The following is a 15,054-nucleotide window of genomic DNA, read 5'->3' as shown; positions in this document are numbered from 1 at the left end:
CTGGGTTCAAGCAGTTCTCCTGTCTTCTGAGTAGCTGGGATTACAGGCACGCACCACCACTCCTGGCTACTAATTTTTTGTATTCTTAGTAGAGATGGGGTTTCATCATATTGGCCAGGCTGGTCTTGAACTCCTGACCTCAAGTTATCCGCTTGCCTTGGCCTCCCAAAGTGCTGGGATTACAGGCGTGAGCCATCATGCCCAACCTCTTGGACTTGCTTTCTATGTAACTGCAAACCTGTCTCTGCTCTGGATACCACTTTGCTACCTCAATCTGGCATTCCTTGAATTAGTATTGCCCTGATCCCTTTACTGCCTTGTTTTTAACTTTGCCTCATACTATAGCATGAGTTTTCATATTGGCAAAGGCAAAGAGTCCCTTGAACCCCTCCTCACCTTCTTCCTGTGTCTCTCAGTAAGGGTTGTGTCTTGGAACGTGGAGTAGCTCAAACAGTGTGCTCTTCGAAGGTATAACCAGCACAGAGGTGAAGTAATAGTAACGAACCATGTAGATTTTAATTAATATAAGTAAGAATGTAATTCTGTTAACCACATAATCAACCATCTTACCAATTGGTGTGCTTCTTTCAGTAGCTGAATATCCATCAAAGATTTTGATTTTTGTCAAGTTGCTTGGTTATTGGAAAACAATTTAGCTCTCAGATATGATCCACTGTGACAATTCTATAGTAATTGTAATTAACTACTATATTACATAATTTATTTTTAATTAACAATCTGATATATTTCATTGAAAAACGTACATATCTACAGTTAAAATGTGTACATTTTTTATATTTGCATAAAAACAAAAGCAATTTCAGTCAATTTATAAAACTGTGACTAAACCTAGTTTTTTCACTTGTTTGAGAAGAGAAAAGAACAAGTGTAGATTAATGGTTGTTCTAAGACACGGGATGGTGTTGTTTTGGCATAACTTCTCTACATGTTCAGCTATTTGGGGCCAGTATTGATTTATTACAGCAATAAATACCTGAAACAATTATTTTCACCCTGCTGAGAATATTAAAGTTCCTGAGAAATGTAAATGCTAAACTTCTAGTGCGATCTCTGTGGGAAAAATAAAGTGGCTTTCCTTCAATGAAGTAAGGCACTGCTGGGAACTTCTTTTCTGTCAACTTGGCTAAATGTGTTAAGCAAAATTTAGTCAATAAGGTACAAAAAAATAGTAAGTGGTAGAAAATTGATGCAAATAATGAATCACATTTAATACTTGAAACATGTTAAGGTAATTAAAGTAAATTGTGTTCATATTTGTAACCATTCAAAAGTGAGATTCTTGCCAAATATAGTTTGCCTTTTCCACTGCTGAAGACAGTTCAGAAAATAAAGCAGAAAATCCTTAAAGAGCAGCCTAGATTCATGTTAATTTTCTATAACATAGGATTCTTACCTACAAAGAGATTGCTCATTCTGCCTATCACTAAATTTTGTGCCTAATTATTTGAAACTTGTTGTTGAGAGAGGGGGTCAGTTGTATTTTTTTGTTATTATTTCTCAAAAGAACAGTGAGACATATCTTATTTTTTCCTTTACTCACCAGAAAACAAGAAACCAGTATATACACATTATTAGAAAAGCCTGTGAAAGCTCTTCTAAATGAGGGTCTGGAGCAGTTTACACTACTTCAAGCCAGGTCTTGCAGCACAATCCCTCAAAACATAACATCTTGTTTTCGCTAAAATTTATAGTCAGATTCAAGGCATGTCACTCACTATTCATTTCTTATCTCATGAAGGGAGAAAATAAAAGAAATTGAATAGTTGGTGTAAAATGTAGATTTAGAGAAAAAATATTGCTGAACATTTGAATCTTATAGAGTGCTTGACGATCAGCACACGTGTTCTTCACAAAGAATTTGAAAGGTGGAGGAAAGAATAGGGAATAAACCCTTTCTACAGTAAAGGGGCAACAGTTTATTTTCATTGGGCAAGATATATATATATATTACTTCTTTCCAAAACAATTAAAATCATGAAATCATGAAATATAGTGGCATCTCTTGGTAGCTGCTATTTTAAAAAGAAAAACAGAAATGATTCTGAAAAGAGAATGATACATGAACCTAAAAAGATTCATGTAATTTGGTTTTAAAAGTAATTTAACTATTAAAAGAAGTAAACTACATGTACACACATACATTTAATATTGTTAATTATGACAATATCAGTACTCATTGATTTTTCCAAAGTAAACATTAAAAGTATAATAAATTACATATTATGGAGAGACATAATTTAAAACTCATTGTGTGTGTCTGTTAACAAAGTCAACATTGGCAAAAGCCGTATCCGTCTTTATCCCATTTTTACAATAAAGAAACATTGTCAGTTGTATGAGTTCAGGAATAATTTTTGATTTCAGTTTCCTCAAGTCTAGTATAGTATTATATGTGGAATGGCTATTACTAACAAAGCTACCTCATCCTTGTGACTTTTTCTTGCTTTTTAATTTAAAGGTAAATTAGGAGTATTTTTATAATCAAGTGATACTCTATTTGCTGCAAACACCTAGTTTTAAAAAGCAATTGGTGGTCTTTCTCTATGCATGTGTGATGCTACACGGCTAGTTCTCTGCAAAGCTCAGTAAGTTTCACTAATATTGAAGGGAGAGCTAGAATAAAAGATTATTCAGCTTATGCTGATCAACTCTGCGTTAACTAATATTGTGTGGCTAAAAATTTTATTGCCAAGAGAGTTGACCTTGTTATTAAGAGTCAATTCTAGGAATCTCAATGCTTGTATATACTTGGAAAAAACACAGTTTGGGGTCAAACTTAACCTTTGAATAAGTCAATAAAACATTGGATTTTATAACTTTATTATGATCTCCATAATAAAATTATGCTAAATATTGACTATAAAATTAGGCTAAATATTGACTATAAAAAATGAGAATAGTTATCAGTCAAGCACTTACATTCTCATTCCTATTCTCTTTTTCTCTTCCCAATTATTATTTCACTCAAGAGTATTCATGACTCGATAGATATTTGGGGAACAATTACGCTTTTCTTTCTCCTATTTACCAGATGACCAAATAAGAGTAGCTGAACTCATACAGTTGACAATATTGCAATTTCCGTTTTCCTTAAACTTTATGTTACTCATTTTATGGCATTGTTTATAGTCAGCCACACCTTTATTTGTTTATTTTTCCTGCAATACTTATTCACTCATCATCACTCATGACAAACATGTCACCTCCAGGAAGCCTGTTTTGAAAGCCAAGTTGAGTTGAAGGATAATGCTTGCACATCACACTATACATGCATCAATCCGATCACAATCTTTCTAAAATGGCATTATCTCTTTGGAAGTGTCTTAAGAGAAAGGACCATATTTTCTTCTTGTTTGAGACCTGTGTACTCAGCAGCACTTGAACATAGCTTAATATATACTGAATTCACTGGTTTTGATCCCAATCACTTGTAATTTAAACTTATTTATTTAAAACTTTTTTGTTAGATTTTGAATTCCCTGTGTTCTTCTTTCATCAAAAGTAATTTAGTTTTCAATTATAAAACTTCAATCATGTATTTTTGAAAGTTTTAGAAGCTCTGTTTTGATGCTAATGAATTTATAAATCATTAAAAATGACTCCAGAACAATGATAAAGGTTGAAATCACTAATAACCACAGAAAGTGGAAAACTAGAAGCAGAGAAAAGATTAATATAAATGGCATTTAGATTATTATGATACTTTTGGAAAAAAAAGAATCAATGATGATTCATTCTCTGCACAGAAATAAATTCCAGATAAATTAAGTACTTTTTGGTTAAATAGAAATGTATTAATAACAGAAGAAATTATGGATGAATTTTACTGTATATATGAAAAGGACATTTCCATACATGAATTATATAAAGTAATGAAGAATCAAGATGGAAAGATTTGCCTATATAAACTACAGTATATCCCAAATCATCATAGATGATATTAAAAAGCAAATAATTTGGAATTAAATATATGCATCACACATAAAAGGATTGCTGCTTATTTTATCAAATTCTTACAAAAAAACAAAAAATGTATAAACATCCTAAAAAAGAGAACATATAAATGAACAAACCACCTAAGATAGACATCCTATTACCAATAAAAAGAGATTGGTTAAATCATAAGTTCTACCCAATTGATAGAAGTGTATGCAAACATCAAAAGACATGTTACTAATTTAAAAATTTTTTTTTGATAAAACAAGCATGTAAAGAGAACACTGAATGATTTTATCCATCTTTGGAACCTAAAAATGTTAATTTCATGGAAGTAGAGGTTAGAATAGTGGTTACCAGAGGTCAGGCATAAAATGGTTGGGGGGACCAGGAAAGATTGGTCAATGGTTACAAAGTCATAGTTAGACAGAAAATGTAAGTTTTGGTGTTCTATTACATAGCAGGGTGACTATAGCAAATAACAATGTAATGTACATTTCAAGATAGCTAGAAGAGGAGATTTGGAATGTTGTCGTCATAGGGAAATGATAAATATTTAAAGTGATGGATATGGTAATTACACCAATTTGATCATTATCTAATGTATGCATGCATTGAAACATCACACTGCACCCCATATAATGTGTCAATTACAAATAAAAATTATGAATATTAATTTTAAAAATTTGAGTAAGTTATGTCAAAAAAATTTAATGTTTATAATAAAATAAAAGACCAGATAGCAAAAGAAAATGCATAGGGTAATTTTAATTTGTGTCTGTAGGCTTTTTAGCTCTTACACAACTAAACTGATGATAATTAATTACATAGAGTTAGAGAAGATTTTAATTTTCAATTTTTTTCTTCTTTTTTCTGAGACAGGTTCTCACTGTGTTACCCAAGTGGGAGTGCAGTGGCACTATCAGGGCTCACTGAAGCCTGGACCTCCTGGCCTCAAGTGATCCTCCCACCTCAGCGCCCCCCAATTCCACAGTCCCACCCAACAGCTGGGACCAAAGGCATGCACCACCATGCCTGGCTAATTTTTGTATTCTTTGTAGAGATGGGGTTCACCATGTTGCCCAGGCCAGTCTTGAAATCCTGAGCTCAAGCATTCTGCTCAGCTCGCCTCCCAAAATGCTAGGATTACAGGCCTGAGCCACTGCACTGGCCTTTTCTTCATGCTGAAGCTACATGCAATAAACACATACAATAAGAAAAAATGAAGAAGTAAGACAACATTTCAAAATATAAAAGTTCTTATACTCTCTAAAACCTTATTTCTATCTAGATGCCATTAGATACTTAATGAATACATTGAAATTTAGCTTCTGGAGACAATGACCATTAGTGTTGTATGCTATTTTAAGCAATTGATAATCCAATCTTATAAAAATATTTTCTTCTGTGTCTAACTCATTGTTTACATATTTTAATATGATTTTCTGTTAATGCAACACACAAAAGCTAAAACCTTCTCAAAATGAAGAAAATAATATCTCCAGAACAAGAAAGATCATATCCGGGCCTCATCATTTCACGTCAGGAGTGAATAGCATATAGAGTCAAAGATAAAATGCCTAACACAAAAATGTGAAGTGTAGTTTTGGTAAACAAGGTATCCTTCAGTTTGTTTTTAAATTCAGCATTAGCTACATTACACTCTTGCTAGTGTGACATTTTTAATGTCCTCTTTTACTAACCATTTTTTGAAAAACTTGTTTCAACAATGTTCAGCTAGATAATAGGTCCCTTAGCAAGCAAAAACGAAGTAGTACAAACACTAAAAGCATTCTGTGCCCTTTGAAAATATTATGAAAGTTACTGCACAGATGGGCTGAAAGTTTAATTACCTCTAAAGAAGAGTGTCAGAGTCATCATCGCTCTTGCAACAACTGGAAATTTACCAACCAAAATATCCATCAGGAAATTACTCCAAACCTATTTATCAAATGCACTGAAGAAACAGATGCCATTTCATTTATGTCAGCCAGATATGAGCATTGCAGAGATTGAAGTAACACAGAGATGGCACATTGGCTTTTTCTAAATTTTATATTTTCTACGCATTTTGCAACAGAGCCAAACTGAGAAATGTATGGAGCAGAGTAACATGCACCAAATAAAATAGCACAAATTTGGTTTTATGTATTTTGAGTTCATACTTTTGCATAAAAGTTACAGTGCTATTACAAAAAGTAGGATTTTATTTTGGGTATAAGTTTATTATACAGGTAGAATAATTCATATTATTTATCTAAAATTACCAAGCTTTCTGTAACTGAAAATATAATGCTGTTTAGATTTTTATAAATAATCTCAAATAATGGTGCATACTCTTACATACCATACATGGTGAGATGAAATCCTATTTCAGGATCATAGCCGTATGGCCAGATGTAAGAAAGTATGAGAACAAACTACTCAACAAAGATTAAATTTTCAGAGTAAACATTCATTCCTCTGCCTCACAGGAGAGTAAGTGCCTAAAGAAATAGTAAGCACATTTTAAAACTGCTTTTCAAAAAAATTTACTACAGGTTCTACAGCTGACTGTGGCATCTTGCCATTCTCTATTTCTGGAAAGGTTCTGGCTGGAGTTCTTTGAGTCTGACTTATTATTACAGATAATAGTAAACTATGTACTTAAGAAAGCACAATGTGTGCTTTCAAAAGCTATAAAAATGATGTGTGCACATTTATATTTGGCAGAGTAAATTTTAAAAGTATAAGAAACAATACCCAATATTCTGGAAAACATTAAGAATTCATGGCATAATAAAAATATATTTATTATTAATATCAGGTTCTGAGAATCATTATAATTTGTAGTTTCTCAAGCCAAAATATACTGAGTTTCAAGTGAACAATTTATAATCCATTTCAACCTCCCAAATATGTGTTTAAGATAACTAACTCAAATCTTACCTGAGGTCTTGAGAAACAATAATACACCTGAGAACGTTGTAACATCTACAGTAGCAGCTAATAAACAATTTGAATTTTCTTTTAATTTAGGCACATAAATGGGCCCCTATGATCAAGAAGTTTCCAAAACTTTATGCACAAGAGGATATGCAGAAAATCATAAACCATTTTAAAGGCAATTAAAGACCTTAAAATTTATAATTATGAATTTCTTGATATAATTATGTCTTAAAACTTTATCATGATGTAATGAAATATCATCCCAATGGGTGAAGAGACTTAGATTTTAGAGAGTCATAAATAAAGCAGTGCAAGGTCAAGCGTGGTGGTTCACACCTGTAATCCCAGCACTGTGGGAGGCCAAGTTGGGAGGATCCCTTGAAGCCAGGAGTTTAAGGCTACAGTGAACTATGATCACACCACTGCACTCCAGCCTGGATTACAGAATTAAACCCTGTCTCTGAAAACAAACAAACAAACAACAACAATAACAACAGTGCAGATTACATATCAGTCACCAAGTAAATAATACACATATATTTCTTCGTGTGTATATGTTCGACTGCTGTCTTCTATTTGAGTTACGAATAAACATGTCAGAGATCGTATCTCACTTCTTGATCTCTTGATTATTATCTATAAGGAATGGTTCTTGGACAAATCTGATACATGGTTCAAACACAGTAGAACCTAGAGGTTGTGATTTAATTATTTTATGATGGTTTGGGGATAAAGACATTATGTTTAGTAATCATTAACTCTGCATCCTGCAATGAGCTATGTGCTTCCTATACACTATTTCATTTAAAACCCCTGAACAACTTTTTGATATACTGCAATTCTCATTTTACAGAAAAGAAAATAGAGGCTCAAAGAGGTAACATAATGGAAGCAGGGGATTAATATTTGTCCATTTGTTTCTGTCCTTAGTGCCTAGCAGAATGTTTTAAACTTAGTAATTATATTTAATACATTCTATAAGCAAATCTTAAGAATTGCTTTATGTTAAGACAAAAAGGAGTATGTTCATAGAAATTTGGAGACTGAAGGAAGATATAGGAGATAAATCATTGCAACAGGCTAAACTCTTAAAGTGTGATTGATTCTAAGTTAGGATTTGGGGAATATTTCAAAGTAAAGCAAAAACCACAAATAACAAGCCTAGCCAGTATCAGTTAAACCTGAACAGAAAATGTCAGCATTGCTTAATTTGTAACGGGAAGAGGACAACTGAAGACATTTTCCTCAGAACAGAAAGACTTTTTTGGCTTTCAATAGTAAGTACAATGTTAAGTCTGTTATATACCTGATATCTGAAACCATATACAATTCATACCTGAAAATTTAAGCAATAAAATGAAAACAAAGAATATTTTCACCACTTTATTCTTAAATTATTTTGAAAAGTTTTATAGTTCTGTTATATTTTGCTGTTTGCTTATTTCAAAATGTTTAATATTTTATAATATTAATACTAAAAGGCAATATTTTCTTTAAAGACCTGAGAAGATAAAATTATTTCTTCATTTCCAAATGATAAAGAGCAATGATAAGTGACACCTGTTTTCACTGTGCTTTCGATTGCTTTTTCTGATAGTGTTAACAATTTAAGTTTTGTTATTTGAAGGTTTACATTCATTGAAATACAGTTTTAAGTAAAAACCATTCTAAATGTACCTTTCCAGAGTTCACCTTCTCGAAACAATCTATTCTGCAGCCATGCAGCAACGTAGACACCAACTTTCTGCCTTACGTATTGTCAGTGAGAGGAGAAAAAAAGTGTCTTGAACAAATGTCTCTCCTCAAATGGGAGAAAGTGACATTGCCAGTGAATAGAGGTGCTGCCTCTTATCTGTGCTTAATAACCTCTCTCGCTGGCACCCATTCAGCTGCCATTTAGCACAAAGACACGTCTGCATGTCATTTAACAGGCCAGCATTAATACACCTAACCAATCAATGGCTGCTACCCATTCCACAAGGACACCACTCTGTTACCGTTACTAGACACTGTCAACAGAAAATGACACCAGAGTCACAAAAGGCAAAATGATGTCAGTTTAATCAGAGAGCAGACAAAAAGGCAAACAATGCTACCCAGGATAGAAGTATAACAAGGAGACTCAGAGGTTGGCATAAGCCACTCTTGGCAGGTCCCAGTGAAACTGGTTTGAAATTCAATGATATGAAATCCAATAGAATGACATAGACAATCAGAACTGTTTTCCCCCATTCAATTAAAATTGGTTACTGCTGTTGGCAGAGGGAAAATCTGTATGAAAATATTGGAAGAGGGTGCAACATGAATAGATGTTATAGGAAATCAAACCATGTTTTATCTATTCTAATAAAAGCATCAGCATCCTAAATTACATTATTTTAAAATTTGTTCAATCCGTTACTTCAGTTTTCTTTCTATGAAAAATTAAACAGACATTTTTTAAAGTCTCATTATATTAAGCCAACAGCTTTGAATCAGTATATGTATACACTGACAAGATAGCTGTTCACATTAAGTAGTGATAATAATGATGGATTTGTACAATTATGGATGTGGAATAGGCCTCAGAGATTATCTGGCCCAACCTGCTCATTTTACAGATGAGAGAACTGAATCTAAGAAAGAATAAGTGAAATGCCCAGGAGCACAATGGCAAAGCCAGGGTCCTGGCTCTCAGTCCAGCTCTTTTTCTAGAATACTGTTTAAGATTCATCTTTTGCAGTAATAATGACAATTTCTGTCTAGCCAAAAGATAGCATTTCATTAATTTTCCATACATGTAGTGCATGTTATCGTGGAACAGGGAAAAGGGAATTATTTTAATTAAGTTACTTCAAATAGAACATTTATAAACAATGAAGCATAATTTTACTGACCTTGTAAACCTCATAAGACTCCTCTTTCCTCTCCAAATATTTGAGGATGTGCAGTGCCTTTCAAATCCTCTAGAGATGGGCTGGGCACGATGACTCACACCAGTAATCTCAGCACTTTGGGAGGCTGAGGTGGGTGGATCACCTGAGGTCAGGAGTTCGAGACCAGCCTGACCAACATGGTGAAACCCCGTCTCTACTAAAAATATAAAAATTAGCTGGGCGTGGTGGTGGGTGCCTGTAATCCCAGCTACTCAGGAGGCTGAGGCAGGAGAATCACTTGAGCCCAGGAGGCAGAAGTTGCAGTGAGAAGAGATCACGCCATTGCACTCCAGACTGGGCGACAGAGCAAGACTTCGTCTTAAAAAAAAAAAAAAAAAAAAAAAGTTCCTCGAGAGATAAGCATGACAACCAGGCCAATAAGAGCTGGCTGAGAGCAGCAAATACTTTGGCAAAGTTTCAGAGATGCCATATCCTGATTCTCTACTGTACTATTCTGAGATATCTAGCTGGTTTATAATTCAGTTTTCACTGGATTGACTATTTTGTTCTCACCTCTAGCATTGTTATCTGTACCTCTTTATGTAGAAGCTTGGTGCTGCCTATGCTGCCTACTTGAGACACCACTTTTAGTCAAGTTGAACTCATCCCTTCTTCCAACCCAGTTTCCCCCAGCTCAATTTCTGCTAAGTCCTGTAGCTCTGGGATGTGTTATACATGTGAAGAGCCAGGTGGACAGGCCTTTTTCCCTGGATACATTCCACCTCCCTGCCCTGGCCTGACAGCTTTTACTGGTTGCTAAAATTAAAATTTGGTTTCAGTATTTACTCCACCTTTATTCTCTAAAGAAGTCTATCTGAACATTTTAAAATCCATGTTCTCTGTAAATAAAAAAAGAAATCTCTTTTTAAGGATAAAAATTTGGATTTTATTTTCACTCATATTATTTGGCTTTAATACATACATGTATATTCAGAGAAATTTTTGAATCAGTGATTACTTATGAATGAAAAGAAAGGTTAAATATAAAATAAATGATACTTTCAGGTCAATAGCTAACACTAACCATGAGTATTAAGATCCAAATGCCTAGGATTACACTAGATTTGTAAACCAAATCATGGATAATCGACAAATATTAACAATATGGAGGTTTTCTATCCCAGAACACAGTATATTTTCCATTTATTTAGTAGTTCTCAGACTATAAGTATTGTGTGTGTACACATATATATATGTATATATGTATATGTACGTACATATACATACGTACGTACATATACATACGTACATACATATACATACATATATGTATATATAGTCAAATTCATCCCTGAGTATTTCAAGGTTTTAATGCTACTATAAATAGTAACATTTAAAATTTGTAATTTGTAATTGTTTATTGCTAGTATATAGAAACAAACTTTTTGTTTTACATACTGACCTTGTATTCTTCAACCTAACTAAACTCACATATTAGTTCTAGTAGTGTTTTTGTAAATTCCTTAGTATTTTCTACATGTACAATCATATCCTTACAACTTTTACTTTTTTATGTCAAGGATTCCCTGCCTCTGCCTCCGATTCTGTTGCAAGCATTTAAGGGGTATTCGTGGGACTAATTTAGAATTAGTGTTTCTGTTACCCATCAGGACTACCCATTAAGAATGTGTTGATATCTGGGGCTCTGTCACAGAAATATATTTCTTTATATTTAAAAAAAATGTGAAATATCAAATGTGTATATTCAAGCTACATGTACCTTCTCCTAAGATTCTAATATGGGCCGCCCTGTTTCCTTCTCCCCGTGCCTCCACATTGGTATTCCTGCTTTCCAGGGGAAATGTGTACACAAAACAGTGCTATAACCTTCTCTTCCTTCTCCTTAGCTCTTCTTTCTACCTCTCCCAGCTCATGTAATTTCACCTTGAAGCAATTTCTTTTTTAAATTCTCATATATATTCTTTCTTTCAATTTCCTCATCAATACTCACCCTTTGCACCTTTATTCCAGGAGAGTCTGTCTGTTATTTATCCTCTCAATTTTATGATTAAACACACATGCACACACACACACACACACACACACACACACTGAGAGAGAGAGAGAGAGAGAATTATAATTATTATGGCTATCTAGTATAAGAATAGCTCTAGTAAGAAATATATATGTGTACACATACATATTTTTCTCTATAGGGAAATTTTTTAAATTTCAAAAACAATGTAGAAATTTGGCAAATCAAGATACATATTGTAAAACTATCAGCTATGAAGAGTCATAAGTCAACTTTTCATTAGTAAATAATAAAATCAGCTAAAATGGTGACTTTCCAATATATATAAGGAAAGGATAGCAGCTACGAGTGAGGATCTAAAATCAGACTGATTTCAAAACTTGGTTCTACTATGAACTCTCATGAACAAATAGCTTACTTTTTCTCTCCCCCTCTTTTTGAATCCGTAAAATAGAGACAATGATAATACCACTCTCCTAGGGTTGTTAGAAAGGATAAATGAGGTAATAAATATTAAGCATTTGGAACCATGCCTGGCCTCCACTAAGGGTTAGTAACTATAATTATAGTAATAAATACAGACACTCTCTTGCTTCTGAAGGGCTGTTCTGATTTCAGTGATGTCTCCTACTTCTTCTGCACTCCTGATGCCATTCTACACCAGGAAATAAAGGTAACCATTCAATTCCTGATATACCAAAACAAATGTATTGGTCACCTGATTCTTTTACTGGATCAGAGAACAATACTTTCAACTCCAGCAGATGATTATAGCCTTTTCAAATCAGTTACATATTTGAGTCTAAAAGGATATATACTTACCAGAGAGTATGTAGTAAATTACATCTATCAAGACCTCATTAATAATTTAAATCTTCCAGGCTTAGTTTTGGCAGTTCTGCTTATCTCTGAATCCTGCTGTAATCTCAACTCATTCATCTGTAATAGTGTATCATATTCATGTTTCAAAATCATACAATAACTAATGGTCACAGTACAACAGTATTCTTTTACAAATACAGCAATATTTAATTTTATAGCTATAAAGCACATTGGATTTTGTCTACAGCAGTGCTTTTCAAAATTTAATGTGCTTGTTGAATGATCTGGCTTTCTTATTGATATGCATATTCTTCTGGCTCAGTCTATCCTGGGTGGGGCCCAAGTCTCCATTTCTAATAAGCTCCCAGATGATACTAATTCTGCTCATCAGTGTCACCACACTTTGTTCCACATAAAGATCTGTAAAACATTACTGTGATTTTGAATAAACTAAATTAAAATATGTAATTTCAATTTTTAGTGTCTACATTTTGAGACTGGGAATTTTAATTTAAATTCTAGTTTGCAGTTATATGATGCCACCAGAATTTAAGTTAATGTTGCATTTGTCTACATGTATATTGAACCATTCACATACTTACATTTTTAGTCTGATAATTCTCATGCTTTGCTTGAATTTATCAATCTAGAAGACATTTTGCAAAAGAGAACGAGAGAAATGATGTGACAATGAAATCCAAACATGGATTTTCAACCAGTGTCACTAAGTGTTGTCTTTCTATGACAAGTGTTAAGATATAAAGTATGGCAAGGTTTTTAAAATACCTTTGGTTCATCTAGGAGTATACACTGCAGTTCAGGAGCCGTCAAACTATTACTTCACTGCAATTCTTTTCCTTTAAATAGCACTGGTATACAGGCTGGAAAAAAGCATGCAATATTAAAAATATGACAAGAAGAGAAGAGCGGAGAGGAAAGAGAAATGTCAAATTGTGAAAATGTAAATGGAAATGAAACATGTTCAGGAATAAGAGTACATCATGTTGGACTCATATACTGTAACACAGATGAATAAGGTATGAGGAAGAAAGATCCTGCTCATAATTAATTCAGCTTATGAACTCCTGTTTTTTTTCTGATTCAGCACATTGATATATTTTTAAAATATAAAAGTCATAAAGTAGGAAAAACGTAGATATCATCATTATTTCTATCTGCCATTCTAAACAAAATATAAGCAAGTGTGTCTTATAAGATTCCATTAGATATGGCAGCGGGGGGATTAAGTTATTACCACTCGTCTTTAAAATTTTTTATTTTGAAATAATTTTAGATGTTTAGATTTGCAAGGATAGTATAGGGAGTTTTTCTACATTTTTACTGATGTTTACCCTAAAGTTAACCTCTTACATAGCCATGATGTGTTTATCAAAATTAAGAAACTAACATTGGTACAATACTGTGAACTAAACTACAAACATTATTGAGTATTCACTAGTTTTTTCAATAAAGTTATTTTTCTGTTCCAGAATCCAATCTAGTTTACCACATTGCATTTATTCATTATGTTTCCTTAGTCTCCTCCAATCTGTGACAGTTGCTCAAGTCTTTCTTTTTAATGTCATTGAAAATTTTGAAGAGTATTGGTGAAATATTAATAGAATGGTCATCAGTTTGGGTTTTCACATTGTTAGCTTGAGGTTAAGATTTTAAAAAAAATAGCACTTAGGCGAATTTACCTTCTTGTTGCAGTTTATCAGGGAACATGATATCAACACAACTTACTACTGGTGATATTAAACTTGATCATTTGGTTTTAAAAAAGATGGCCTCTGCCTGTTTCTCTATGAAGTTATTAGTTTACCTTGCCTACGTTAATTAACACAAATGAGTTATTGAATCCAGGCCACCCTTAAAGATTAATTGGCTCAGTTGGGGTTTCTCTTTCCTCTTCCAGCTATAGAAAGTTTCTACCAGAACCTTCAGGCTACAGTTTTTATTTTCCTTGTAAGTGTTTTTCCTTCTTTCTTTTTTTCTTCTCTCACCTTCTTTCTCTCTTTCTTCTTTCTCTTTCTTTCTGTCTCTTCCTTTCTCTCTCCCACATCCCTCCCACTTTCTTCTCTCTCTTCCTCTCTTAGGGTTCTCTCTAAGTTTCTCATTTGGCAACTGGTGGTGTCCCAGGGAGAAAAAGCCTGCAAGGAGATGGGAACCCCCACCTACGTCTGTGGCCATCAGTACAGTTTTCCATCTCCTTTTGGTGTTTTTACACTGAGGGTGCTTTTACACTCTCATAAAATCCCACACTTGGGAGGTTAGCAAGTTTTAAGAATTTCTCACTGAATTTTCTTCCCAACTTAGATGAATCCAGATGCATCCAGTAGCATCATCTCATTTAAGCAAGTGCCTGGGTTTGTTTCTACCTGCTGGCAGCCTCTCCAGATTCCGGGTTAGGTTACTCTGCTCTGTAACCTCAGTTTTTTGATAGGATTCAGAAAA

At 33.6% G+C, this 15,054-nt stretch overlaps 1 long non-coding RNA gene across 1 annotated transcript; it reads right to left on the bottom strand.

Moving 5' to 3' along the window:
• Positions 1 to 12,597: 12,597 nt before the first annotated feature.
• LOC105370244 (uncharacterized) lies at positions 12,598 to 13,478 on the bottom strand. The gene is made up of 3 exons (XR_001750019.2): positions 13,384 to 13,478; positions 13,200 to 13,243; positions 12,598 to 12,714 (listed from the first exon to the last, which is right to left on the bottom strand). It is a non-coding gene; the product is annotated as an uncharacterized LOC105370244 (long non-coding RNA).
• Positions 13,479 to 15,054: the final 1,576 nt, after the last annotated feature.

The sequence above is a fragment of the Homo sapiens genome, chromosome 13, assembly GCF_000001405.40.
Source record: "Homo sapiens chromosome 13, GRCh38.p14 Primary Assembly".
Taxonomy (NCBI): domain Eukaryota; kingdom Metazoa; phylum Chordata; class Mammalia; order Primates; family Hominidae; genus Homo; species Homo sapiens.
This window is presented reverse-complemented; position numbering and strand designations above follow the sequence as displayed.